This window comes from Homo sapiens, chromosome 22, assembly GCF_000001405.40.
Source record: "Homo sapiens chromosome 22, GRCh38.p14 Primary Assembly".
Classification (NCBI taxonomy): domain Eukaryota; kingdom Metazoa; phylum Chordata; class Mammalia; order Primates; family Hominidae; genus Homo; species Homo sapiens.
In genome coordinates, this window is record NC_000022.11 from 49,768,584 (window position 1) to 49,792,004 (window position 23,421).

Genomic DNA, 23,421 nt, shown 5'->3' on the forward strand with positions numbered 1-23,421 from the left:
ATCCACGCAGGAGGGGTCCTAGCTCCGCAGAGCCGTTGCCGGCCTGGTCAAGGGCCAAGCTCACGTGCAGGCCCCCTCCAGGGAGTCCAGGCTTCTTACTGCGTCGCTGAGTCTGGCTGCCCCAGCCCCAGGGCTCCCAGAAGCCCCCACTCACACAGTGGAGTACGCACCCCACCATGCCCCCTGGAGGGGGGACTTTGGCTAGGTCCCGAGAGTGGGGGGGCAGGGGGACCTCTGGGCACTTCACTTTGGACACTCATTATACTGAAATATGCATAGAATTTGGCCGTAATCTTCTGCTTTCCATGAGAACAATGTGATTTTTGTAAACTAGCAGAGGCCTTCTCTCCTACTTGTGGTGTGGGGGTCATTTTTGGGATCCTCCAGCCTTTGCACATTGCTCCCAGCCCCCACTCCCCGGCATCCACAGGCCCTCGAAGCTCACAGAGATGGAACAGCTGTGCTGCCCGGCGCCTGGCCTTCGGCCCAGCCAAGCCTTGCTGCCCTGAAGTGAGCCCAGCAGAGGGAACAGGATGACAGCCTCCAGCTCTGGCCACAGACACCGCCTGACCGGCTGTCATCTCCAGGTGGACAGGAAGACACTCTGACAGCCTCCAGCTCCGGCCACAGACACCGCCTGACCGGCTCTCATCTCCAGGTAGACAGGAAGACACTCTGAGTCCCTCTCAGAGCCATCCCTCAGAAGGGGGAGCACTGGGGGAGGGGGGAGGAGGCCCCTGAGGGCCACCGTGGTACTCCACCGACCTCCCTTCCTCCAGATGCTCACAGGACTCAGTGCCACGGCCCAGCCTGGGGGTGAGCGCTCGGCCATCAGGTGGGGCCCCTCACCCCTCGCTCCTCCCCAGCAACTTCTTCAGTGCAGTGGGCACCCAGAGGACAGGGCCTGTGAGGCCAGGGGTCACTGTCCACAAGACCGCAGGGCTGGACCGAGGCTCTGTGGGGATGGAGATGGTGATGGCGCACAGAGGAGGCTCAGAGGTAGCACTGACCGGGCATGGGGACAGGCCGGGGGGTCAGGGACGAGACCCGAGGGGACCCCCACCCTGAGAGAGCCTCAGGGGAGGGGCGCATCTGTAGGAAGGGGCTGCAGGGCCTCCCACCCCCTGTGCTCGCAGTCCAAGCACAACCTGGGTGCTCAGAGCCTGGGCCCAAAGGATTTGGAGCCCGAGTGGGTCTCTAGGGGATGGAGTGAGCAACACAGATTTGGGCTGGACCTCCTGGGGGTCTGACTGAGGGTCTTCACTCCCTACCTGCTGCCCCTGGTTCCTGCCACCCCCATGTGGCCCAAGGCAGGGCCCACCCACAGCGAAGGGGACCTGGGGCTCAGCTCCTCACTGCATTCTCCCTGCAGCCCCTGTCCTCTCCCCGTGTGACTAAGGGGCTCTCCCCACCTGGCTGAACCCCCAGCTCCCTAAGCCTCACGTTTCTGCCCTCCCTTTCTTGCCCGCACTGCCAGACACATGACTGTTTCCTCCTCCCCTGAAGTCAGGCAGGAATAACCTCCCCAAACCAGAGGGACTCCCCGGCCGGTGACAGAACCGGCCAGGGACAGGAGTGGTCCGGGGGCCAGCCCAGGGCTCGGCGGCAGCTTGGCAGGGGCTTGAGACCCGGAAAAATGGACTCCGACACTATCCAGGAGGACCCCCCAAAAATGTCCACAGCATTACACACTGACGGACACTTTGGAATCATCCCAGCCTCTCCGAGCAGCCCGTCCTCCTGCATACAAGGCCCACCACAGCCTCAGAAATGGGAAAGACAGATCGGCTTTCCCAAACTGCTCACGCCCCAAGCTAGGAAGGAGCAGCTCAACTTTGAGCCAATTTCACAAGCAAACAGTGCTGGTTTTAGGGAAGGACGAGCCGGACTCCATGCAACAACCCTGCACAGCTGGGTGGGCAGCTGCACCCAGGAGGAGTGGGTGCAGGGGACGAGGCCAGCTGGACACACCTGAGCGGGAAGCTAGGATCCCACGCTGGATACGGAGCCCCCTGCCTGAACCCCCTGCCTGAACCCCACCAGCCAGTCATCGTGTAGACTCCAGACCCCCCACCAGCCAGTCAACCCAGGGAGGTGAGCATGACTCAGTGGGCGCCCCCACAGTGGGTGGGCTTCGCTAGGGCACAGCCTGGAACCGAGGGAAATTGGATTGCTCTGCACTCTATTTTGAAGACCTTTTCACATCGGCGTACTAAGTTCCTCCTCATTCTTTTTAACCCAACTGCCACAGGTTTTTCAGCCAAGACAGGGCGGAGTGGTGTCAGTCAGAACAGGAGGCCACACTGTGAACTTGGTTCCCAAACATGAAACCCTGGCGGCTTCCTGCCCTGAGTGCTCTGGGTCTCAGCTGCCGACGCCGAGGCGCTCCTCCGGGGGCTGGGAGGGCCCGGGGTCCTAGCAAGGTAGGGAGGCTGCGGGGAAGTCAGTGGGGTGCGGGTGGTGTGGACACCTCCCCATCCCCAGCCGGCTCCGGTCCCGGTGGCCTTGGGCCAGAACGGATCTGCTCATGAGGTGGGCACCAGCCCCGTGGGCTCAGGGAGATGTCAAAGGCTCTGGTTTTGGGGGAAAAGGTAGGGAACCTCTTGCTCCCTCCTGGTTCTGAAAAGCCAAGACGCACCAACTCCCCGAACCAACACGCCCACCCTCCCCACGCTCAAGCCGAGCGCACCGCCCTGGAGTAAGGAGGACCGCGGCGAGGGCGCGCCCTGGGAGACAGAACCCTGGAGAGCGCACGACCTGGACGGCGGGCGAGGCCAGGATCCGCGTCTGAGCCGCTGGGAACCCATGAGCCCCGTCCATGGAGTTGAGGAAGGGGGTTCGCCCCACGGGGTGGGCGCCCTCTACACAGCGCGCTTCCTCTTCTCTCGTTAGCGCCGCGGGACCAGCCTCTGGTTCTGCACCTCGCGCTCTGGGAGCAGCGCCCGGCTTTGGCGAGCGCTTCCCCGGGGCTGCCCAGCCTCTGCTCCGCTCGCCCCGCCAGGCCCGGCTCCGCGAAGCCCCCAGGGTCCAGTCCAAGGCCCCGATTCCCCAAGGCCAGGGCCCCGGGGCAGCATTGGAACAGGGCGCGGACGCCAGTCCTCCGAGCATGGAGTAACTGCAGCTTTTGAGAAAAGAAAGCGGACCCCACCCCATCGAGAACGCGGCGCCTTGTTTAGGGACGTTCCTGGGCCGTCACGGAGTGTCGCCGGCTCCTCGGCCCCTCCCTCCTCCAAGCCCCCACCCCCGACAGCGGCCTCCCTGGGGACCTCCCCTCGGGCTGCGCTTTCAGCCCAAACACAGGGAGGTCTTCCAGGAGCCTGCCCAGTCCCCACAGCAGCCCAGAGACCCCCACTCCCACCTGTACCTGCCAAGCCTTCAGAGAGGGCGGCCTGGACATGCCCCGCACGGGAGGAGCCCCGCCTCAGCACCCCTGCAAGTGGCAGCAACCCAGAACACCCGTGAGAGGCCTCTGAGCAGCCCAGGAAGTGGCTGGAAGACGCATAGGCAGCTCACTCCTCTGTAAGAGCAAGGACCGGAGAACACATGCTGACCCCTGCTTTTGCAGAGGGGCGATGCTTCAGGACAGGCGCGCTCAGCAGGTGTCCATCTTATTTCACACCTTTGTGTTTATATCATCTTATTTTGCATTTTATGTCTAATTAACAATATGCAGCTGGCCAGGCGCAGTGGCTCAAGCCTCTAATCCCAGCACTTTGGGAGGCCGAGGCAGGTGTATCACTTGAGGGCAGGAGTTCGGGACCGGCCTGGGCAACATAGCAAAACCCCATTGCTAATAAAAATACAAAAATTAGCCAGCCATGGTGGCGGGCACCTGCAGTCCCAGCTACTCCGGAAGCTGAAGCAGGAGAATCACTTGAACCCAGGAGGCGGAGGTGGCAGTGAGCTATCAAGCCATTACACTCCAGCCTGGGCAACAGAGAAAGACTGTCTCAAAAAAAAATTAATACGCAGCAGAATATTATGTGGTCAGCCCAAGCAGTCCCCCCCACTCAGCCCTCTGTCCCTACAGCTCCAGGCACTCCCCCAGCCCCTCCCCTGGACAAGAGGTAATGCCCAGAGGGTGAAAATCCACCAAGGTTAAGCCAGAAACAAAAAGCTCAAAGCTTCGGCATCTCCCTCCGCTCAGACCCTTAGAGCAGATTCCTCTCATCGACAGCACGATCAGGCTGTGGGTGGCAGAGAAGGGGTGCAAACTGCACCCGCCATTAGCTGGGCTTCTCGGTGGTAGCCCTGAGTGCTCCACGGCCTGTCCCCACCTGGCTCCTGCACCCGCTTCCTTTCTGCGTGGGCTTCCTTTCTGCGTGGGCGGTGAGTGATCCTGGGGGCCACCAGCTGCTCGTGGTGGGGAGGGGCCTGCCGGGCGGGGCTGGCTGTGGGAAGGAGAGCCACGACAGATAGGAAGCACCTGCCAGATGCAGGACAGCAACTATCTAAGGAAGACTTGATTTCCAAGTTTCTATGGAGATGTTACAAACGGTGTAGGCTTAAAAAAAGCATTTAAAACTTTTATGTAACTGAAGTTTTAAAATAAAAATATGATCAGGTGAAATAACAAATAATGCCATCCCATGACAGTTTTCAAGATAAAGGCGTGTCCCCGCCCCCTGCAGCCAGCACCCCACCCGTCCTTGGGGCTCACCTAGCCGTCTAGGGCTGTAGGAATAAAATGGCCACACCGTCCAAATCTTGACTTTATTTTTAATATAAAAAATGCAAATTTGGAAACCCACCCTACTTTCCCCAACATAATGCTTTACCTCTTAAAAATAAAAATAAAGTACTAATTCTATATACATCACAGGTACCATACAAAAATGTATCCAAAGTTTCTATTGCTACCAAAGTGTTCTAAATTAAAACAAGTTACAGAAAGCCCCTCATTGTAAACAAAAGATTACAAGTTATAAAATCAAAGTACACACAGGCCAGAGTCATTTATACAATGCAATGCATTCTGCTCCCAAGCCAAGTTGAATTTTTATGTGCCTGTATAAAAATGCATATCAATATACCTTTGCAAATGTATTTTTCATTATAAAGCAAATGAATACACTTTCTACAATAAATAATCCGCTGGGAGGCACACCTGCGGGGTTTGAGGTGGGCGGGACGACGGGAGCGGGGACACACCCACCGGCGGTCACGGGCAGCGGAGTGTTTTTGGTGATCTGCAAGTGATGTACACAGCATAACTTTATTCTCCCCTCTTTCCACAAAGTACCATTCAAAATAATGTCATTTTCTTTCTTAAAATACACATTTGTCATTGTAAATTTACATCCCGTCTTATTAAATAAGTGGTACTCTGTGTAAAGAGCATGATTTACAAAATTATTAAACATTCAAAAGTCTTTAAGAAAAAGCTACATATCAAAGAAAGTGACGCCAGCAGCACGGCCTGGGGACGTGCGACAGACGCACTGGGCTGCCCGGACGTGCCCACCCCACTCACAGCGCCCAGACGGAGATGGGTTCCTAGAAAACTTGGAAATAAAACCTCCCCCCTCCCCGGGGAAAAAGAATTAAAGAGCTATAACTAAAAATCAGAATAAGTTAAGTTTTGAACAATATACAAACATGTACAGCTTATCAACACTATGGACAAGACCCGCGCTGGCGGCCGGGCCGTCAGTCAATGTCACTGAGGTCGCTGGTCGGCTCCCCGTGGACGCGGCTCAGGTGGTTCATGGCGCGGTCAAAAGCGATCCGCACGGCCTTCCGGATGCTGGAATTCCTCCCTTCCATCATCTTTAACTTGTCTATAGTTTCGTCAATACCAAGGGGAACCATTTTGGACTTAGGAAGCCACTGCCTTTTTAAAAGGAAAAACAAGCGGAAAATCATTGCTTGCACATGGTATTTCAGCAGGCTCCATGTAATCATCTAACAAATTCACTGCCCTCCGATAGAAAGGGGCCCTGCTCAGCACCACCAAGACAGCTGGGCCCCGTGCAGGGACAGGCCCGAGGCCAGGAGTGCACCCCTCCCTTCCCCTCCCCGACTTGGGGATACGGGGAGCTAAGTAAGGCATAAAAACCATCACCTCCTCCTCCACCTCCAAAACGTTTCCCAGTGCCTGCTTAGTGACAAGACATGCACACACCAAGCCCAGAGTCAGGGTGGGCCCTGGAGCAGAGGCCGGTGGTTGGGGAGACCCCATCAAAGGGGCCCTCGGATGGACAAGGTGTGGGCCTCGCTCAAGGCCTGACAAGAAGCAGTGGCCACGTGGCCAAAGAGGCAGAGGTCGAGGCAAGGAAGAGAAAGACGGTAGGGATGCCTGTGCTGCCAGTCCTGCTCCAGGCACACCATAGGCAGGTGGCCCCGAGCCCCTGCGCCAGGTCCCAAGTGCAGCCAGCTCCACGGGGAACCAGGAAGCACCTGCCCGGGCCACGTGCGCAGGGCACAGCCGGGGCCACAGCTCCTCCCAGAGGCATGTGCTGCCAGCGTGTCCTGCACAGAGGGATCTTGGGGTCTAAACCCTGGCACATGAGGGTCCCAGACGCTCTGGGGAAAAGCAGCTCAGGGCACAGGGGGAGCCTCCTGTGATGGGGTGGATGTCTGAGCAGAGCTGGATGATGCTGGGACAGAAGGCTCTAAGAACAGGGCCAGAGGCCAGGCCCGGGCAGGGGCCATGTCCTGCAGTACAGGGGTCCGGGAGCACAGCAGAGGGACCCCCAACACTGGAGCGGACACATGGGTAAGGAGTAGGGAAGAGACAGTCCAGACCAATGGGGCTCAGGCGAGAGGGAGAGGAAGCCATCGGGCAGAGACAGACCCGGTGCTCAGTGCCCGTCCCACAGTCCCGGCGAGGGGGCTGGGCAGTGCCCTTCTCCACCAGGCAAACAGCGGAGCACTCACCTCCGACTTTAGCTGTGCCAGGGCCCAGCAGACAAAGACGCTGCTCACCACAGGGACACTCAGGTCACCGAGCCCACGGCCCCCAACCACCCCAGCCGGTCCCCGGAGTCTAAGGCCTCTCAACTCACCAACTTCTCTTATTATCAAAAAAGAGAACGAGGAACAGCTTCTCATCAGACTTGGTCTGCATGTGCTCCCCAATCTTCAGCACGTCCAGGGGTGGGGCCGGGATGGTGACGCCGTTGTGGTGGCCAGGCACACGGGGCATCTTGGGGTCGATGATCTGCACGAGAAGGACCCGCTGAGGTCATTGTGAGGCTCACACCCATAAACAACCCCACCTGTCACTGGCACCCCCCCCCGCCTCCCCACCCCAGCTGTGTGAGCCTCCTCAGACCACCCCCACGCCCCCCTCGCCGAACCACCCCTGCCCCTTCCAGCTGTGTGAACCTCCTCTGACCAACCCCGCCCCCCCGCCAGCTGTGGAACCTCCTTGGACCACCGCCGTGAGCCTCCTCGGACCACCCCCGCCCCGCAGCTGTGTGAGCCTCCTCTGGACCCGCAGGCGCCACGAGAGCCGTACTCACCAGTGCCGGGTAGGAGGGGTAGCCGCTGCACTTGGCCCACACCACCTTCAGAGGCTCCAGCACCGAGGCGGCGGCATCAGTGGAGATCCACATGCTGCTCTGGCCGACTTCTGCGGAGAGGGGCGTCAGCAGGACACAGGCGTCAGCAGGACACGGGGCACGCCCCGCCCCCCCACAAAAGGTGCAGCAACAGGGTGGGTCCCCCGAGCACAGCCCAGCTCCCAGGCCTTTCTCAGCCACCCCGGCAGCACCACTGCCTCCCCTGTGGGGTCCAGGCCCTTGCATCCCCACTGTCCCTGCAGCCCACCTGGGGCCACCAGCCTCCCACGGACCCAGGGAAGCTCCTGCCCTCCAGGCTACAAGGCTCCAACTCCAGGTGCCCAGCACAGTCCCTTCTGAGCCCTCCTTGCCGCAAGGACGGGGCTCCCAGCATGCTCCTGCCTCATTTACACAACTGACACCCCAAATGGGAAACCAAAGTCCTGGCTCCCCCTCCGCCAGACCAGCTCCCTGCTGTCCCTCCCACCTGGGGGATCTCCGTCCTGATGCCCCCTCACAGCATGGCTGCCTTCCACAGTGAGGGCTGTGCGACCCCAAACCCTGGGGCCTCCCCCTCCCCCAGGGGCCTGAAGTTGAGGGCACCCACCCTGCAGTCAGTCCCCTGTGCAGCTGCAAATGACCACTGAACCTAAACAACCCCAGACAGCCTTGACAGTGCCTGGCAACCAGCAGCCACACAGAGCTGGACGTTCCACAGGGAAACGAAGGCAGGATGGAGGAGGCGCCACCTCCGCAGGCACCCCGGCAGGGCCACAGCCCAGAGCCCCTCGGTGTGTGATGAACCCTTCCCCGGGAGGTTGGCCAGGGTGGGGCTCCACACAGGGCACCATGCTCCCTGAGCCGGAGTCCAGTCCCCAGCAGTCGAGCCCTAAGACGCTAACCAGGAGGTGTGGAGAGCCATGGAGGCAGGTCCGGGCGACTCACCGGCTGCGATCCTGGCCGCCTTGGCGTAGTTCCCATTCTCGATGCAGGAGATCAGCTCACTGCGGTCCTCCAGCGTGTGCCGTCGCACAAGAGCCGGTTTGCCCCGCCCACATTTGGGCGCATTAAAGCTTCGGGAGGAAGAGCAGAGGGAGTCAGGCGCCCCGCCCCTGCCTTCAGCCTCACTCGGGCTTCGTCCCGTGAGCTGTCCGCCACCAAGCTGGCCACGCATCCTGCCTGACACCCCCGCGGCCAGACGGGCCTGTGGGTGCGCAGGTCTGGAGGGAGTGAACCTGTGGCAGGGGGGACTCAGGAGGCCAAAGTGGCCTTCACAGGGCAGACAGGCAGGGCTGTGCTCATTGCCAGATTCTGGGAGGTAAAGATCAAGTGTAAAACTTCATTGCAGATTCTAAAATTGTGTTCCTATTTCACGCAGTGTTTTTCCTACTTCTGCTTGAATTCTATAAAGCAGATTAATATGCAGCATGGGAAACTGTCCACAAGGGCAGAGCACACATGAATCCCAGGCCAGAATTTTTCAGAGAACACTAAGATGGGAGCTGGAATGTCCCGGCTTCCAGGACAGCCAGGCGGGGCGGGCGGTGCTGGGAGCTGCGTGGTGGGAAGCGCAGGGCCGCGGTGCCCACCTCGAGTCGCAGAGCGGGCTGTTGCTGGAGGAGATGCTGGACTCGGAGGCACAGCGTCGTCGGGGTGTGGCCTTCCTCCCCAGGCCGCCGCCCGGCTCCTGCTCGCTCCTCGCACCCCCAAAGCCGTTGGTGAGACCTGGAACACAGGCGGGCAGGCCCTGAGCTCAGCACAACCAGGGCACACTGAAGCATGACTCAACGACGTTACACTTGGAACACATCTTACAAAGCACGTTTCACAGACAGGTAAGACAGCATCTTCCTTTTCACTCCCAAGTTCCCGAGCATAGTCCTTACAGTAAGCAGACACCAAAGTTACTCGTTAAATGAAATCAACTTAACAAACTGCAGTCGGCTCCGATCGTAGTAGTTTGCTGAGCACCATGAAGATGCTCCTCTTGACAAGCCCGGGTCTTTAGACAGGCTCTGTGAAGGCAAAGAAAGGATGCCGTGAGCCTGCCATGGGGGCAGATGTGCAACCTGTGAGTGCAAACACGGGGGCGGCCTGTCCACGTGGGCACCGGCCGCGTTTGAACGGAAACTTCACCAGGCCGAAGGGGCCACCAAAGACACAAAAACATGTTCACAGGAGCAGAGCTCCAGGGAATAGGAAATCAGGTTTTAAAAAGAAAAAACCTTGGTTCAAAAGACAAGTGTTAACATGAAGTCAAAAATGCTGACGAAACACTTTAAAACACAAAATCCGGGGCCATCGCCGTGTCTGAGTGTGTCTGGCCTCACTCACCATGAAGCTGCAAGTACTGTACACAGCTAAACAAAACACCACTCACAATTCCATCATCTCAATGTTTAAAAAATAAGGCAAATCTCAGTATTTTCCCCCTAAAAATCCTGACTTTGTCAGTCAACGGGAAACAACACATCTGCCCAAGGCCCCCCGATGAGGTCCCCCATGGGAGTCACAACGGGGGGATGATGTTCCTGCTGGGGGCCCTCTGGGTGTCAGAGCTAAAGGGGTGTGTGATTTTTTTTTTCTTTTTTGAGGCGGAGTCTCACTCTGTCGCCCAGGCTGGAGTGCAGTGGCACGATCTTGGCTCACTGCAAGCTCCACCTCCCGGGTTCACGCCATTCTCCTGCCTCAGCCTCCCGAGTAGCTGGGACTACAGGCGCCCGCCACCATGCCTGGCTAATTTTTTGTATTTTTAGTAGAGACGGAGTTTCACCGTGTTAGCCAGGATGGTCTCAATCTCCTGACCTCGTGATCCGCCTGCCTCGGCCTCCCAAAGTGCTGGGATTACAGGCATGAGCCATGACACCCGGCCATGTGAATTTTTTTATCCAAAAAGAACCCCGTTTTCCTGCCTACCTACCTCATCCTTAAAAAATTTTTAAATCTATTTCCAAAGGAAATTATGTAAATTTGTAAATAGAGCATTTCTGTAGAATTTTTTTGGAAACGATGTCTCACTCTGTCACCAAGGATGGAGTGCAATGGACTCCATGGCTCACTGCAACCTTGACCTCCTGGGCTCAAGTGATCCTCCTGCCTCAGCCTCCTGAGTGGCTGGGAGGCATGTTTTGAAGGGAATGGCTGGACTGCGGGATTTTCCACCCGCTTCGTACGCTTCCCGTCTGTTCTCAATGAGCACGACCGACTTTTCAATACAGGGGCTGAATCAGCCTCCACCCGCTTCATACACTTGCTGTCTGTTCTCAATGAGCATGACTGACTGAAACAGAGGGGCTAAATCAAGCTCAGAAGGGAATGCACAGATTGGGCGGGTGCACTGCTGCCCTCCACAGACTCAAGTCAGACACCGGCTCCGTCTCTCCTGGACTGGAATGTACCGTGACCTCCAAGGGAAGCTCTGTGTTTCTCATTTTAACCTCGGTCATTTTAAGGCAGGAACTGTGGCCAGTTGGGGGTGTCATACTCATTTCTGGCAAGGGAACAAATAAATTTAAAAACCTACAGGAGAAGGCCTTGAGCCACACGCTGAGCTGCCCTGGGGCTCCACATGCTCCCCATACTCATCACAGAGTGGGCTCAGACCCTGCACACTCAGGCCCCGAAGATGTCTCAAGAGGGAATTAAAAGTCCCGTCCTGGCCCCCGAGAACCCCTCAGGAGCAGCGACTCCATCCCTACTCCAACCTGAGTGGGTGAAGGCAAGGGAAGCCCACCCAGCTCGCATCAGCAGTGGACGGACGGAGCCCAGCACCCCTGCCAGCATTCAGCCCACAGGCCCGGAGAGGGGTCTGCCAACGCGTGTGACCCGTCTCCAGAGAGCAGCCACGAGCCTGGCGACCCACACCCCACAGCCCGGCCCCCAGCACACTCCAGACCCCAGGTGCAGGGTGAGCCTGCTCCAGGCTGAACAGACGCAGCCCAGGGCCTGGGTGGGGAGGCTTTTAGTAGTTACTGGTTGGCCGAGCAACGGCCACTTGGGGGAAGACGATGACCAGTGCGGCCTTCACAAGACTGCCCAGAGGTGCCAGCCTGAGGGCCCTAGCACGAGATCACCCGCAGCTGTGCCAGCACCAACACAGCCAAGCCATGCACAGACCACTCAGCAGCCACGACGGCCCCGGCTCCGTGTGCATGGAGTGGGGCCAGGAAGGGGATTAAAACACAAGGCAAGTCCTTAATTCTCAGAAAGAGGAGAATGATAAAATGCCCCTCTTAATTTTCCTAAGCATTCAGTGAGTGCGCGTATGACGCAAGAACACACAGAGGTTCTGCGTGTCACCCATGAAAATGTGACAGCACCCGGGAAGACGTGGGCAGCACAGACAAACCCAGCCCAACCGAGACACCACCCAGCAGGAGGCCTGGCGGGGGTGGGACAGCTGCAAGGCTTGCTAACAGGCGGTCTGGGGGCTGCGGCAGTGCGGGGTCACCCAGGAAGCCAAGAAGCCAGACCAGGACACAGACACATCCCGGGAGGCTCTGCAGCCACCGCCTGGAGTCCCCAGAACCTCGGGGGAGCTGCAAGGTGGCCTGCGCTGCCCGGACCCTCCCAGCCTCCACCTGGACCACCAGAAAATAATCTAAGACAGCTATGGTTCTGAGATCTCTCAATCTCGGCCCTGCCAACTCCCGCCCTGGGAGGCTCTTCCAGCCAGCTGGGAGATGTCCACCATGACCCGCACCTCAGCACCCCTGCAAGGACCTCAGCCCAGAACATTCTGAAGCCCAGGCCAGCCTTGAGGTGGGGCCCAACGTGGGGAACCCAGGGCCTAAGGTCTGCAGAGATGGGTGCCCGGTCCATGAGGCATTTGCAAACAGCAGGCACTGAGGCCGAGCCCAAGCCTCTAAATCATGTAAATAGCAAGGGGCAACTTTCAGCAACTTTTTCAGCACGAGGTTTTTTTTTAACGCTGAAAGTAAAGCTGGTGACTGTGAGAAATACGTTAAAAGAGGCGGCGGCTGCCAGGAAAGAGCCGCTGCCCCATCAACACAGGAGCTGCACGGAATTCCCACAGCGGCCAGGGTCCACCCACCCTCAAGGGCCTTCCCAGTGACCTCCTAGGAGGCCAAAGACTGAACACAGAAATGTCCCTCTCTGCCCCCAAAGGAGATGGCGCAAAGGTGTCCCACAGCCCAGCCAAGCGCAGTCCCCGGAAGCCTGCCCGTCACCAGGTACGTCCACAGCACACCTGAAACTGTCCCGGGAGGTCCCCAAAGGGTCTTCTGAGAGACTGAAGGCCACAGCGGCTGAGACACCGCCCCTCCCCACAGGGAAGAGAAGCCCCAGGGCCCACCTGGGGAGGCGGAGGCCTGCAGGTCTGACTGATGGGCCGTAGTCTCCTCTGGTCTCAGGCTCCCAGCCCCCAACCCATGTGGACACCACAAATCCTCCAGGCCACAGGTGTAAGAACACCAGGCCCTGATCAGTGGCTGCCGAGACACCTGAGGGCACGGAGCCATGGGAACGCAACCCCACAACACGGGATACAAGCCCGCCCCTGCCCGCCCCTGCCGCTGGCACCCAAGCTGCCACCTCGGCTTCTCCGGCTCATGGGAAGCTTGGCCGTATGAAGCAGGTGGGCTGAGCCTGCACCCTGAAGACCAGAGCCCTGAGGGCCCCACGCAGTGACAAAGGAGAGCCCACTATCTCCTGTTTTCAGTTTCACTTTTACCATCGTTAAAAGAAGAGCAGTTTTGGTGCATTTTTCAACCTCTCAACAAAAACACACACGGAAGAAGATTCCAACAGCACCCTGCTCTTGCTGGGACCTGCTCCGTGACAATGCAGCCGGGGACGGTCAGAGACCGACCCAAGGCCCATGTTGCTGGGACCTGCTCCGTGACAATGCAGCCGGGACGGTCCGAGACAGACCCAAGGCCCAGGCCAGATGCCTGCACAAGACTTGCTCCGTGACAATGCAGCCGGGGACGGTCAGAGACAGACCCAAGGCCTATGTTGCTGGGACCCGCTCCGTGACAATGCAGCTGGGACGGTCAGAGACAGACCCAAGGCCCAGGCCAGACGCCTGCACGAGACCTGCTCTTGCTGGGACCTGCTCCGTGACAATGCAGCCGGGGACGGTCAGAGACAGACCCAAGGCCCATGTTGCTGGGACCCGCTCCGTGACAATGCAGCTGGGATGGTCAGAGACAGAACCAAGGCCCAGGCCAGACGCCTGCACGAGACCTGCTCTTGCTGGGACCTGCTCCGTGACAATGCAGCCGGGGATGGTCAGAAACAGACCCAAGGCCCATCTTGCTGGGACCCACTCCGCGACAATGCAGCTGGGATGGTCAGAGACAGACCCAAGGCCCAGGCCAGATGCCTGCACAAGACTTGCTCTGTGACAATGCCGCTGGGGACAGTCAGAGACAGACCCAAGGCCCATCTTGCTGGGACCTGCTCCATGACAATGCAGCTGGGACGGTCAGAGACAGACCCAAGGCCCATCGTGCTGGGACTCGCTCCGTGACAATGCAGCTGGGATGGTCAGAGACAGAACCAAGGCCCAGGCCAGACGCCTGCACGAGACCTGCTCTTGCTGGGACCCACTCCGCGACAATGCAGCTGGGATGGTCAGAGACAGACCCAAGGCCCAGGCCAGATGCCTGCACAAGACTTGCTCTGTGACAATGCCGCTGGGGACAGTCAGAGACAGACCCAAAGCCCATCTTGCTGGGACCTGCTCCATGACAATGCAGCTGGGACGGTCAGAGACAGACCCAAGGCCCATCGTGCTGGGACCCGCTCCGCGACAATGCAGCTGGGATGGTCAGAGACAGACCCAAGGCCCAGGCCAGATGCCTGCACAAGACTTGCTCTGTGACAATGCCGCTGGGGACAGTCAGAGACAGACCCAAAGCCCATCTTGCTGGGACCTGCTCCATGACAATGCAGCTGGGACGGTCAGAGACAGACCCAAGGCCCATCGTGCTGGGACTCGCTCCGTGACAATGCAGCTGGGATGGTCAGAGACAGAACCAAGGCCCAGGCCAGACGCCTGCACGAGACCTGCTCTTGCTGGGACCCAGCTCCATGACAATGCAGCTGGGATGGTCAGAGACAGACCCAAGGCCCAGGACAGACGCCTGCACAAGATCCCACGCACAGATGCCCCACCCCACGAGCAGGACTTCTCAGTTGGCCGCAGGGGCACTCAGCGTGGTGACCAGCAAGAGACAAACAGCAGCACTGCTCAAGAATCCACTGGGCATTGTGGGGAAAAAACAGAGGAAGGGGAAGTAAGGGGAGAAGGAAATCAGGTAGAAAACCCAGAAATACAGAAGATGCTAGCGAGTGAGTGAGCACGCACTGTCCATGCCACATCCTCAGACAGTGCCGAGCCAAGTTCCTCCATACCCCATGGCACAGACACAGCACAACGCGCCTGGGCATGGCCGTCACACCCAAACCACCAGTCACTATGGGACGGCTCCGCACATGCTCAGGACAGCCTCAGAATGCTGTCCACTGTGTCGTCAGCTGCAGCAGGCTCCCAGTCGGTGCCGGGCTCTCCTCTGCGTCCTTCGTGACTGTCCAGAGGGAAGGCTGAGGTGCCACGACATCCCGCCAGCTCCAGGCGTGCACCGGGCGCCAGCACCATTCCCACTGCCGGGCTCTGACTTACAGAGGGGGTGGGCTGGGGTGGGGGAGAGCTCCTCCAGGGCTGCTGTTTGTGATTTTGTCTAGAGGATGTTTGAGCTGATGATTCCAATGTGATCCGCAAGAATTAAGTGAAAGGCAAGATGCAGTGATCTTTGTGCATTCCAAAACGGCCGCTTAGCAGAACTCCAGTCCAAGTTGAGGTAAGAGAAAATGATTAGGGTCCAAAGAGTGAACTACCCAGCACATTAGTGGTTAAAGTGAGAACCTGGAAAACAGTGAAAAAGCCATTTAGTCTGAATGAAAGGGCAGGACAGCTCAGCCTCCTCCCTGAACAGCCGAAGGACACTGAAGACACCCCCGCGCTCTCACGCCCCAGCACGTGCACATGGAGACTCGCAACAGGGGTCTCCGCAACGGCAGCGAGTGGACAAAGACATCCCCACACTCTCAAGCCCCAGCACATGCACACAGAGACTCGCAGCAGGGGTCTCCGCAACGGCGGTGAGTGGACAAAGACACCCCCGCGCTCTCACGCCCCAGCACGTGCACAGGGAGACTCGCGGCAGGGGTCTCCGCAACGGCGGCGAGTAGACAAAGACACCCCCACGCTCTCACACGCCCCAGCACGTGCACACAGAGACTCGCAGCAGGGGTCTCCGCAACGGCGGCGAGTGGAAGGCCGCTTCAGGTGACGGTTCACTGCTGGTGAGCGTGCAGTCACGGAGGAAGGAAGCCACGAGTCAGGGCCAGACTCTGGGGCTGGGCCATCGCAGGAACAGAAGCCTGGCGCACAGCACAGCCGGCCCGCGGGCGACACGGGCAGGAGGCCCACAGTGAGTGCGTCGCCTCAGGACCAGCGACCCTGTTCAGCCTAACTCAGAATTGTGCGTGTGCTGGAAAATGCCAGATAACTCCCTAAAGTTCAGAGCACACAGATGCATGTATGGAAAACATCAGAAGGTTCCGGATAATTCCTGTCCTAAGACTGCGAAGAACTGCAGCTCTGGGCAAGAAATCCCCCATGTGCAGAGCACCAGAAGGTTCCGGTGAAACCAAAGCGAGGGCGGATGGCGGGACTGGCACCATTCAGAGCACGCCCAGCCCTTCCCCGGGCGCCTCGGCCACAGCAGTGGAATGCCTCCCACTCCCGAGGGCCTGGTCTTAATGCTGCTGAGGCTCCCGGCTGCTCAGGAGAGAGCTCAGGAACTCACCGCACCTCCACGGAAATCCACTGTCACTCGGAAATGAGAGAGCAGAAATCTCCACTTCAGTCAGGATCAGAGGGCACCATGATTCTCAAAAGCCACCATGGGCCACGCTCACTGAAGGTCTGCAGTAAGACTGCTCTACACCACCGTCACCACGGGAAGCCCGCAAAACACTCCACTCCAATGTAAGACAGTGGCCCGGAGGGGACACGTGCTCTTCTACAAGGGACATCTGATGAACGAGCCTGAGAGGTTGCTGAGGACGTGGCCGCCAGCCGGCAAAACTGTCCACAGTGGGAGCCCACAGCTGGGGCAGGGCCCGGTCAGGTGGGGCCACCTGGTGGAAACCACCACGTGAGCATCCTGCTGAGTGTCGACGGGAGGCCGCCTCAAACCCCAGCCCCACGGCCGGCAGGGCCTCCACGCACGCAGCCCCATACCTCTGCCGCCGACAGACGTGAAACCCCGAGGAAGTGGAGCGTCAGCCGAACTCCAAGTTCTGCATGCAGAGGGGACGCCCACAATTACACTGACCCAACCTCTAGTACCCAGTGCACAGCACCCTGACCCGATTCATCACAGAATTTCCGGGGTGCTTGGAAAACCAGGTCAGAGTCTTTCACCAAAGGTGGCTAAGAAAGACCAACGTGGTTAAGACACATCCCCCAGTCCTGAGTCAAGGACATCTATTCTTATTGGTATCTTGTGAAACATTTCAATAGCTTCCTATTACTTAGAAAGCAAAAAAGCTTTTTCAAATTATTTTAAAATGCCAATTTAACATCAATCCATCAAAGTAAAAGGACATGGGTAGAAAATTTCTACACATTCAGTTACGTGCAAAATTTTCATACAAATCAAAATGAAATTTACCAGAAATTACTTTGGCAACAAGACGCATGACCTGCTTGCTGGCAAGGGTAGGAAGTGAGCCTCCTTCTGCACAAAGACCTTTGACAGTGCCTGGTCTCACTCCCCTCCCCGGACGCTTCAGGCCAGAGACCAGCAGAAGGAACAGGGACAAGATGTGAGGGAGTGGCCTGGGCAGGTCTTGCCCACCACAGCCTTCCATCTGCACCCGGCCTGGTGAGGCTCCATGACACAGGACTCACTTGCTGCCACTCTGGGAAATAAGCAACACCCACCCAGCCCCACCCTCTCTCACTGCTCAAGTGCACGAGGCACCACGGCACACCAGCACAGCCAGGAGAAAATGCGCATCTCCTTATCTAGGTATAACAGGCAGACAGGACAGACGGGAACCAAGCCTTGACTCGGGACAAAAACCAAAATGACAAACATGCTCCAGACACGCTTCCAGAAAAGAGTCGCTGGCAACCTGAGCCGGCACCTCCAGAAGCGCAGCCAGTACCGAAGAAGCAAACCGATGACAGCTGCTCCTCTTTAAAGGACAAACTCCTCAGCTTCCTCTGAGGGGCGGGGAGCAGAGGCTGCAGGAACACAGCGGCCTCCTCAAAGTGCTCCCAGCACAGCACACACACGGCAACACCCTCACCGAGGAATTCAACAGAGTTCAGTTACAAAAGCGCAGCAAGAGATGAGAAGCGCTTTCCAGTGCTATTTCAGCAGGTCCTAATACCTCATCACATATGTGGCTAAGAGGGCCACATAAAACAATGAGTAAATGTTGCTGAAATCAACTGCAAAGTACTGCATTTACCACAGGGGCAGGTCCTCTCAGAGGTCCAGGGAAGGGCCAGGCTCAACCCCAGGTCCTAGGTCTGTGGGGCTGCAAGGAGACCTGACTGAGGGTTGCAGAGTCGAGCTCCCACAAGTGCTGGGAGCGGCCAGTCACCAGCTTATCCAGATGTGCACAGCAAAGTCAAGATGACCAATTAAAACTACACCTGAATTCATTCTCAGTACTTTTTTAAAGATCAGAAGGGGCCAGGTGCAGCGGCTCACACATCTAATCCCAACACTTTGGGAGTCAGAGGCCAGGAGTTCAAGACCAGCCGGGACAACACAGCGAGACCCCCATCTCTACCAAAAATTTTCAAATTAGCTGGGAGTGGTGGTGTGCACCTGTAGTCCCAGCTACACAAGAGGCTGAGGCAGGAGGATCACCTGAGCCCAGGAGTTGGAGGCTGCAGTGAGCCACTCACTCCAGCCTGGGTGACAAAGCAAGACTCTCTTAAAAAAAAATCAGAGAGGAAGTATGTGGCAGAAGACAGGACCAAGGACCATCGACCCCTGGCCCAGGGCAGCCCAGCAAGGTTGCACAATCTCTCGTGGCAAACAGGCCCCCCACGAAGGCGCCGGCCTCAGACCCGCAACTCAAGGCTTTTCAAAGAAAACACTGCACTGTTGTCTTCTCTGGAAATTAAGAGAATGCTGCAAAAACAGAAGCTGGACACCCCCCCCCCCCCGTCACACCAATGATCCTGAAGGACGCTCCAGGCACTGGTCGGCAAGGGCGCCTCTCAGGGCCGCCCGCGGCATTTACCTGCGTCCAGGCGCTTTCCTGGGGACTCCTCCTCCACCTCGGAGTCTCCGCATGTGCTCCGCGACCTTTTCCTTGGCTGCAGAAGAGTCTCCAACCTCGGAAGGACTACAGACAAAAAGGTTTTGGTCCCTAGCTGAGGAGAAGTTGGCTGGGTTTCAGTGTTCTTGGCAGACTTTGGGGGGCTTACACTTTTCGATTTGCAGAAGAGAACAGAAGTGCGTCTGTTTACATCGCTTGCTGGCTCCGCCACCGCGGAGGCCGCCGCCGCCGGCACATCGCCACTACTGGCGCGGGTGGGCTCTGGAGGGCGTCCGCTTACCAGTGCGCTCTGAGTGCAAGCGCTATGTGATTCATTATCAAATGTGACTCTTTTGAAAAGTTTACTCTGCTCTGGGTTGAGTTCTACTGGTTTGAGGGTTGGTGGTTCTGAATTAGTCTCCGAGTTTGAAGGAAGAGGTAATGCATCTGATGGTTCAAGTTTAGGGGGAGATTTATCTCCTGAAAAAATTATAAATAAAGTGATTTTTGAAAACTGAAGATTATAAAATCTATTATAAAACTTACTATAAATGTGAAGTCCACCAAAATACTAATTCAGTTAAGGAAACAAGGCATCGCATGTACTGTCTGCTCGGCAGTGTGGGCCCCGTGGGCTCGGGCCACACTGTGTGTGCTTCCCTAACGCCAAAGGCTGCGGCCCTGGGTGCAGTGCCCAGGCACACAGTTACTCTCTGAAAAAAACTGTGAAAGATTATTTCACATGCGCCAATATTAAACACGTCACTCGAGTTCATGACAGTTTCTGCAATGAATAATTCACTTACCTTGAGGAAGAAAAGGTATCTCACATAACTAAAGGGGCCTTAAACGGGCATTCCCACAGAGCTCTACTGGGCCACGAAGTTAGCAAATAAAAGGAAGGCAACATTAAATCTGATCTCTGGTCAAGGTCTTAAGTCAAAAATGCAAAAACAAACAAACAAACAAAAAAAACAGGGAGTGGTGAGTGGCTGTGGATGATTTTCAAGAAAGGCAGGGAAAAAAGCCCCGCTCCCCACAGCACAGAAGTCCGTGCCACGTTCCCAAATATTGTGATGGGAGCTTTCAGGAAAAAAAAATCTGACTTTTAAAAATAAGAAGTCTTTGGAAAAAGACGGCTTTAACCTCTTTTTAAAGTCTTTTTGACATTATAAAAACCGGAAGTGTGAAATGGTAAAAAGCCCGAGGTCAGGAGGACGGCCTGGGGCTGGTCTGTGGGGCTCTGTGCACTGTCCCGAGTCCAGGGGGCCGGACAGGCTCTGGCACGAGGCTAACAGGGCGAGGCGACGCCACAACAAGCCAAGCCCAGCCACTGAGGCTTCCTTCCAAGCAGGACCGGTACTGACAACAGGAAGTGTGACATAAAACCAAGGATTTTGTGATTATTTAAAGTGACATAAAACACTTTAAATAATCCTTAGTATATATTATCACTGGGTACAGTTTTCATTTCATTAAACCTGCAAACTTTCCTAAAACCGTTTGAAGTATGTATGGTTACTATTGTCATTCAAAAAGTTGTTTTGAAAATACAAAACTACACAACTTAACAGGACTCAGAGCAATGTTTTGAGGCTGAAGAAAGTTCTCCCAAGGCTGGGCCATGACGCCGGGCAGCAGTGCTTTCGGCTGCGAGGTGCCTCTGATTTTAAATGACACTCGGCGCCTTAGAGCACCTCACAGCCAATTCAAATACAAGGGGGAAGCCTCACCTCAACAAAAAGCCTCCCGTGTCAGCCGCAGGGAGCACAGCTGTCATGTGGGAATGCTGGATCCCAAGGCAGGGGCACATGCGAGGTGACAAAACTCCCTCCCTCCTGTTCAATGTCGCCAACAGGCTTAAGGAAAAGGTGTTTGTGAAACACCTGGGAACACTGGCCGGAGGGAACTGGGCAATGCGGAGAAGGGCTGCTGAAAGGCTGCTCATGAGCATCCCTGGTGCCTGTACAGCAGCAGGAGGGGATTCAGCACTGAGCCTGCAGCGTCCTGACGCAGCTGGTGTCTGGGGCACAGGGCCTGGGGCCTCACTTCACTTCCTGCCTCCTCTTCCACCTCCTAGCCTCCCCCCCCCGCCCCGAGCTCTCGCCCTGATTACGACATTCAACTGCTCACTGCAATCCCAATGGCCTCTGCAGGGCCAAGGCCAGTGGTCAACCCCAGTCTTGGCCTCTATGGGTGCAACAGCACCCGGCCAGCAGAGATGGAGCCTGAAGGAGTCTCCTCCCAGCACCTCCGGGAGACCCCCCTTCCCCCAACCACCTACAGCCCACCTTCTCCACAGCTATCTAACGGGCACCGTAAACCCCCATCTCCTGCTTCTGGTGCAACCCTCAGAACCACCACTCCTGTCTGGCAGGAGCCCTGAGACGTGCAGACGTCCCTGCCTTGCAGCAGGCCCTCCCCAACCATGGTCCACAACCCCTCCTCCACACCTCCAGCTCTCGGCCCAGCTAGGATGCCCCATGTGGGACTCATAACCATCTCCACGCTGCAGGGACTTCCCTAACCCCTGGTCTATCCCAAAGCGGGCCCCTGTGGCCCTGTCTCAGCCATGCATGCACCCCACACGCCCCTGGCCTCTCTGCGGCAGCTCCACATGCAGGCCGGGCTCCAGCCGCCAGCACGCAGGCTAAAGGATGCGTTCCTGCAGCACTGACCAGAGGCACAAAGGAGGCCGTGGTCAGGAACAGAGGTCGCTGTCGTCTGGGTGCTCAGCCACCTGCCCAGCCGGGACCACACAGGCCCCTCCCCCAGCCGGGACCACAGAGGCCCCCGGACCGTTCAGTGCCTCAGTTCCTCATCCATAAAATCAGAAAAAAACAGGACCTGAGCCTCCAGGCTCCACGACACAACAGGCAAGCCCAACCCGTCCCTCGAGTGGAAATGTGACTGGAAGTTGACATACAAGAAGGAAGACTCCTCTCAAAGCTCACTGACTCTGGGCCATCTCAGGCTGTCACTGAACTGCACATGGGAAAAGCTCAGAACATGCTCGATACAACTCGGGCATAAGCCTCTCAGACCCCGTCAATGTATCAGTCAGGATCCTAGAATTCCAGTCCCTGGAACTTGTCACATATTCCAAATGGCAAAATGGTTATCTAATCCAAACCAGCTACTCTAAGAAACTAAAACCTAGTTAAGTCTGCAAGAACAATTCCGCAATATTTTGCCCACCTGGCCACCTGCTATGTCAATCAAAGGTTTCTGTATCGAAGCCACAAGACGCTTTGGAAAATCACAGCGTAACACAGGCAGACATTTCAGCTCACGAGCAGCAACCACACTGTCCCTCCAACAACCCTGCCTCAAGCCTCCGTCCTCTGCAATCCTGAAGGGACAAAGCTGCGTACTCCGCACCTTCTACCCCGAGGAACATGCATCCTTCCTTTCCTGAGGGCCACAGTTCTCCACGTGCTCAGCGCCCGTGCACGGCAGGGGGACTTCCACACGTGCACTTCAAGGGACCACAGCTGCCCTGGACTAAAGGGGACGCCCCGGAGCCTCTGGCAAGGGCATCACTGTGACTGGAAATCCCAAGGACTCGAAATGCAAGCCCCTTTCACCAGCTCACGGTGCGGACCCTGCTCCTCCTGACTGCACTGACCTGCCTCACCATGTCAGCAGACACCAACCTCAGCACAGGGTGGAGACAAGCCCTCTGCCAGCTGCAGATCCGTCCCACAGGCTCATCAGACAGGCTGGAATCCCAGCTGTGGCGTGGCCCCCACCCAGCTGACACGCAGCCCCGGGGAAGTCAGCCCTGGCAGGGCCAGCTCACAGCAACAGCCCGAACCTCTGCACTCGGCAGACTGAGTCGCGGCTACGGCAGAGCCTGCGGGAGGGCCTGTACAAGGGGCAGACCGGGGCCAACAGTGCAGCCCAGGAGGCATCTCCTTCCTTCAGACACTAAAGTCTCAGGGGCCTGGCACTCAACGGCTACAGCCTTGTTCAAGCTGCTTCAAGTGGAAGCAAAATATAAACACAACACACAGACTGTTAAATTACAGTTTAAGTGAGACTGTGTATTTGCCATTGAGGAATTACTCTTTTCAGGTGTGAAAATATTGTGGTTATATTTAAGAAAAATGATGGAGAGGCTTTACTGATGAGAACGTTCATGCTGGGTTTTTAAATGTCTGATTCTTGGTTTTCATCCTATTATAAGTATCGTAAGTCACATTTCTATACCAACCAACAAGCTTGCTTGTGGCTGTCTTCCCTAATGACTTCCCCATTCCAGTCTGGCACTCGCCTCTCCACAGACCCCCATCTTCTCTGAGGGGCAGGACCCCGCCCGCCCCACCTCTCCAGAGACCCCCAACTTCTCTGAGGGGCAGGACCCCACCCGCCTCACCTCGGAGTGGACTTTCAGGCCACTTGCTTCTCCACCCACCTTCCCATCAGCTCACAGGAAACGCCCTTTTCATCAATTGAGTCATTGTGAACATTGGGTGTAACAGGTGATTCGAGGCCACCTGTGTCTCAGTCACATTGTGTTTTCCTTACAATGGCCCCAGAAAAAAAATAAAAATAAAATGATTCCAGAGCTACAAAGCAACAAAAATGGTCTCCA

General features: G+C 57.0%; 1 protein-coding gene across 33 annotated transcripts in view, besides 1 other annotated feature; it reads right to left on the reverse strand.

Annotated features, from left to right (window-relative positions):
• Positions 2,798–3,092: a silencer, noted in NCBI's record as "tiled region #11654; K562 Repressive non-DNase unmatched - State 18:Pol2". NCBI's record gives its function as "represses a minimal TATA promoter and a strong SV40 promoter by Sharpr-MPRA in K562 cells {active_cell/tissue: K562}" and the evidence as "EXISTENCE:reporter gene assay evidence [ECO:0000049][PMID:27701403]".
• BRD1 (bromodomain containing 1) overlaps positions 4,695–23,421 on the reverse strand; it is a 54,596-nt gene continuing 35,869 nt past the window's right edge. For 6 of the 33 annotated variants that reach the window (NR_146335.2, NM_001394549.1, NM_001394548.1 and 3 more), the window contains 6 exons: positions 18,807–19,304; positions 9,095–9,230; positions 8,451–8,578; positions 7,467–7,576; positions 7,008–7,162; positions 4,700–5,833 (listed from right to left, as the gene is read on the reverse strand). Coding sequence is in view for 26 of the 33 variants with exons in the window: in NM_001394549.1 (NP_001381478.1) it covers positions 5,650–5,833; positions 7,008–7,162; positions 7,467–7,576; positions 8,451–8,578; positions 9,095–9,230; positions 18,807–19,304 (1,211 nt within the window). In the remaining 7 variants the exon portion in view is untranslated. The other 27 variants (XM_047441274.1, XM_017028722.3, XM_017028716.2 and 24 more) reach the window with 14 other exon arrangements.